General features: G+C 40.7%; 1 annotated feature.

Moving 5' to 3' along the window:
* Positions 3,891-5,028: an enhancer, noted in NCBI's record as "VISTA enhancer hs638". NCBI's record gives its function as "enhancer in: limb[5/9]" and the evidence as "EXISTENCE:transgenic organism evidence [ECO:0001131][PMID:17130149]".

Raw genomic sequence — 5,643 nt, forward strand, 5'->3', positions numbered from 1 at the left:
AGATAGACACTAATGTTGAATGGGAGCTAATAGGAGGTCATTTATTAATGTTTTATGTTACAATAACTTTTACTCAAGACTAAAGAAGCTTAGATATTGGATACTCAGATGATGTTCTCTCGTAATTACTTTGTCTTGCATCCATGTGGTAAGTGTGGAATGAGATAGCCCATGCCTGCAGAATCTGAGGAACTCATGTCCAAAGCCTGTCCCTTTCCACCGCCACACACCGTCTCCATCACAAGTCATACTCATCACCTGGCACCACAGAGAAAGGTGTGAGGGTATATTCAATAGCCCCAGTAGGAAATCATTGTACTCACACCCCAAATCATATGAGAAACATCTAGTCATAACGCTGACCTGACCTGCTCACAAGGGCTCCATCCTATGGACACCAGCACTGTTGCCCAGGCCTGCTCTGGGTCCCAGTCTTCCTAGTGCTGTCCTTTGGAGACACATAACTTGGCTTCTCTCTTACCAGCTGGGCAAAGAGTGAAGATGGTAGCTCATAGGAATTAGTAGATGTGAGGAAAAGGAATCACTAGTCCTATCTGCTATGATCCATGAATAGGGACAGTTTTACATGTGTGTCTAAGGAAGGCAGTTTAGAAGAAAGGAAGATAAGGCCAATCACATGAGCATTTCAGCTCATATTCTTGAGAACCAGAGACATCAATAGAATTAGAACTCTAGGCCTGGGAGTCAGGAAGCAATTACTTGAATAACAGTCTTTCTTTTGGCTACCACATCAGCAACAGTCTCTCTTGTGACTTTTTAACTTAAGAACAGATTCTGGTTGAATGAGTCATCTTCTTTTTAGGCCAAGAAATAGAATTGCTGAAATCCTTAGGGTAACACTTTGGAGAAGTGGTCCAAAACTAAAAACTTGTAATTCTAGCCAATCACATTCTCTGCAAAGCTCACTGAGACAAAGTTTCCCAGTTGACAAATATGGTGAGGGCTTAAAATAGACAGTGCTCTGGAGGTAATGAAATCTCTCACTTTCGTATTTAGCATTTCTAGTTGATTCCAAGGATGGCAAAGCCATAAAACAAAGAAGCCTGTTTCAAGGATGGGTAGATTTGGGGAGAAGCGTGTCCAGTGTTGAATATATGTTAACTAAATTTTGGTCCCTAAGTGCTTGATAACATTATCACAAGAAAAACAACATAGCATCTATTGGTAGTGAATAGGAGTGATATAAGTTCCAAGCAGGACATTTATTGGAAGGCAGAGACAGAAAATGTAGTCTGAAATAAATGTACTGCAAATAAATGAAAATTATGTGAAAAGACTGAAGATGGCTACCTGCATAATGGGCCACTTCCACTAATTAATCACATACCTGCCTAGTCTAATTGCAGTGAGACTGGGAAATTTGAGTGAGTACATGGAATATTTGATCATCATTTACTATATCTGCCATGGCCCACCCTTTTCATCACCAAATATTTCTTTGTTTCTTTCTTCCAACACAGAATAGCCCTAATTCCTCCACAGGGGAGACCGGCCAAAGTTCCATCCATCCACCATTGCATCCAGTTCAAAGTTTAATCCTTCTGGATGATGTCCAATTTGTTTCTCCATCAGAGCCAGATGATGTAACTTTTCTTGGTTCTGAGGTCCTGATCCAAAAAAGACAAGTTATCTACTTCCTGTCCACATATATGCATGTGCATACATAACCACCCAGTAAGGTATATGTAAACATTTCCATTTGAAAAGAAACTAATGGAAGACACACAGCAGCCTCTGACCCGCAGCAATTCAGGAATCCAGCTGGGCAGACCTCCTACCCTCAGGATGGAGGCCCCTTGGTTAAGCCACGATTCTGCTCTCTGAGGAGACTTTCCTTTTTCATCGTTTTCCTTGGCTCTTTGACTCATCCTGGAGGAGATTCTTCTTTTTCTTTATTCTGTTTAGCCACATTTAAAGTGAGCTTTAGGGAATTTGAACTCCTTAGGGGCATCCCAGGTTTCTCAAATTGCTTCCGATTAGGGACCCCAGGGTTGTTTTAAGTTCTGAATATTCAGATACCTTTACATGGTTGCTTTAGTTATGTAGTTCCCTAAAAACTCTCTTTGCTTTTCACTTCACTGGACAATAAGCACATCCATGGCTGGGTGCGGTGGCTGATGCCTGTAATCCCAGCACATTGGGAGGCCGAGGCAGGTGGATTGCCTGAGGTCAGGAGTTTGAGACCAGCCTGGTCAACATGGTGAAACCCCATCTCTACTAAAAATAGAAAAAAAAATTAGCTGGGCATGGTGGCTGGCACCTGTAATCCCAGCTACTCTGGAGGCTGAGGCAGGAGAACTTCTTGAACCTAGGAAGCAGAGGTTGCAGTGAGCCGATGAGGTCGTGCCATTGCACTCCAGCCTGGGCAACAAAAGTGAAACTCTGTCTCAAAAAATAAATAAATAAATAAATAATAAGCACACCCAAAGAACTTTACAGCTTGTAGGTTCTTAGATCTGTTTTATTTCTTTGCTTCTTCACCTTCATGCCTCTTTTTCTGAACTCCATTGTGAATACCGATATTAGGCTATTAGGTTTGAATGAGAGGGTCACAGCTTGAGCAATATTTGCCTTGAGGCTTATTAACTAAGTGAGAAACCTTTTCCCCTTCAAAGTCTTTTTAAATACGACCTCTTATTGTTTGGGTTCTAGAAGCAGTCAACTCTTCCAAATTTTAAGGCCCTGAATTTCAAACTCTCTCTGTACCTTTTCTTTTCTGCTTTATAAACTGACCACTTCTCTTCTGAGCTCATCTTTCTTGTAATATCTTGTCAAGCATAGCCAATAATATCACACACTACTAAAGTCCTGTTTTTCATTATCTTCTCATAGCACTGCAAATTAATTAGGTAAGTAGTTGTCCTGCCTAGTTATTAGAAGCAATAGTTTACCTGAACATTTTGCCACAAAACCATAGGGATCATCATCTTTTCGCTTCCAATATTAGTTTCCTCACAACCCACCCCGATGGCTAGGGCAATGTTATGTATTTTAGGTTCTTCTAATGATAGTACCTCACCTCAAGACAAATTTTATATTGACACAAGTTGTCACAACAAACCAGCTCTGAAATCTTAGTGGCTAAGCTCAACAAGAACCCATCACTCACTCACACAAAGTCTCATACACATCAGCAGGAGCTTCCTTGCTTTTGCTGACTAAGGAGCCCATTTTCATCTGTGACCTAGAGCCTGATCAACAATGGATCAGCTTCTAAAATCTCAGTAATGCACTTGCAAAGCTGAGGGCCAGCCCCCAGCACATGCTGACAATCAAGGGGCAGAGGCCCACCCTCGATGGACATCAGTACCTTCTGCCTCTTCATGCCACCTTTATGATGGCAGCATGTGCTTTTGTGCACACATCTTTTAAAAATGCTGGTTTGTAAGCTTTTATGGGTCATACTTAGAATGATCAACTATCCTGGTTCACTCAAGTCTGAGAGGGTTTCCAGGATGCAGGACTTTCAGTGCTAAAACTAGGAGAGTCCCAGACAAACTGGGACAAGTTGGTCACCCTAGTCATTGTCCTCATAGGAAAAACAGATAAAAACAAAAAGATGCCCACCTTTTTGGAAGTCATACAGAGCATCATCTTCATCTTCCTTCCACTGTGAACTGACATGGCCTACTTTCCAAAAGAAGATACAAGCTTCTGGATGAACAGCCTGGCCTACATTTGTGTGTGACTCTGATTAAGTAAGAAAGCTTTGTCGCGCTCCTTTAAAATTTAAAATATGTGTAGACCCCGTCCCCCAATACAAAGCATGTAGATGAAGTAATAACCGGATTCAAAGGGGGAAATATGAAATAGGACATACATTGTCAAGAATTCTCTCCCCCTGCAAGAGAGCAGGGTCATGATCTCTGCATTGCGCAAGAGTTTATTGTGAGCCTAAAGAAAGACCTCCTTAGGGCCCTGGAGTTATGATGGAGGAGGTCAATTTTCAAAATAAACGTTCATTATATTTTTTGCTTTGAAGAAGAATGCTGCTTGGCCTGAAACAAATTAAGAGTGCTCAGGCTTTTTATTTGGGGCATTTTTTAGTTGAATATTATTAAAAATAATTACCGGCTGTGGATTTAATCTAAAACACAATCAGCACCCCCAAAGTCCCCTACAGTGAGTTAAAGCATCCTCCTTCTCAAAATTCAAAATTAAGTGGAAATTCAGATTAGTTTTGATTTATAACCACATTATGAACTATTTAATATTTTCAAGAAGTCATTCCCTGTGCCCATATTAAATTAATTTACAACAGAATATTATATAATTTATATATGCACACATATAATAAATTATAGCCCAACTATATAATTCTACATGTATAATTAATTACATTAACCATCTACATTTTAAGCCTACAATTAGATAACCCTAAAAGACAACCCCTTTAGCATTTTTTAATAAATACTTGTGTTTGGAGCTGTTTAACAGAGCACCTGATAGCTGATAGAGCAGTGTTAACATCTGTTCCATTATTTCCAGAGGACGTTGGTTGAACGCAATACTATTCACATAAAATATGCATTTGTTCTTGACTGTCAAGTACCTCTATTATTTTATTAAAAAGTCAAAAAAGAATATAATCAGACTTCATAATTTATGGGTGACATTTTCATTACAGAAAACTTTATGCAAAATTGAATTCTAAAATTTAATTTCCTGTGATGTTTAAATTACTTACTATCTGGCTCCTCTCCAAACATCGTGATCATTGAGGGCCCCATATGAATTCTATTAAGGATACATTTTGCTGCTGCCAGAATATACAGGGTATTTTTCTAAGTAACTCTAAGAATATGCTTCTTAAATATATTTTGTGCCAGTTTAAATAGTTTTTCTCACACAGGAAAGAAAAGCAGGAACTTTTCTTTCTTCCCTTTTTTTAAAAAACCACAGACAGATTTTCTCTGCTTCTCTCCTTGCCACCTTGCCTGTGACCTCTTATTCCTGACACTTTAACCCAAAAGAAGCCAGGCAGGTCCAGCCTTGTCAGTTAGAGCTCACAACATCACAGGACGATAACCAGGTTCCTTTTGGCTTTCTTTTTCTTCCAGGAAGAGCCAAAAAAGAAGCTGTAGCCAGGGTAGAGCCCATACACATGGGGAAGTGTGACCCTCTCTCTCTCTGCCACCCACTTCATGCAATGTCAGTAGACTCCTTCCACTATTCCCTGTGGCCGCCGCGTCAAGGGGAGAAACCTGACTTAGCCTGATCATTCCCAGGGTGCTTTGAGAAACCTGGAAATGTCATCTCACCTCACAGCTGCCAGGGAAAATAGGGCTGCTAATAATGAGCAATAATTTAAATAACGAGCCTTTGAGGGAACGAGGGTACCACAAGCAGAGTCACCTTAATGCATTCTCTGGGGCAGAACCATTTCCCAAAATGCCATTTTAAATGGGGAAAGCATGGAACCATCAGCTGTGAGGGGGAAGGAAAAGTACAAGCAGTTGTCAGTCAGCCAAGATGTGGCAGGATTCCCTGCCCAAGGCTGCCCCACACAGCCAGCCAGCAATGCTGGGATTCATCCAGCAGTCCACACCACCAAAGGGAGCTTCCATGGCCACGTGCCATAGGATGGGCTTGGATTACAAAGAGGAACAACATAAGATTCCT

Source organism: Homo sapiens, chromosome 3 (genome assembly GCF_000001405.40).
Source record: "Homo sapiens chromosome 3, GRCh38.p14 Primary Assembly".
Taxonomy (NCBI): Eukaryota; Metazoa; Chordata; class Mammalia; order Primates; family Hominidae; genus Homo; species Homo sapiens.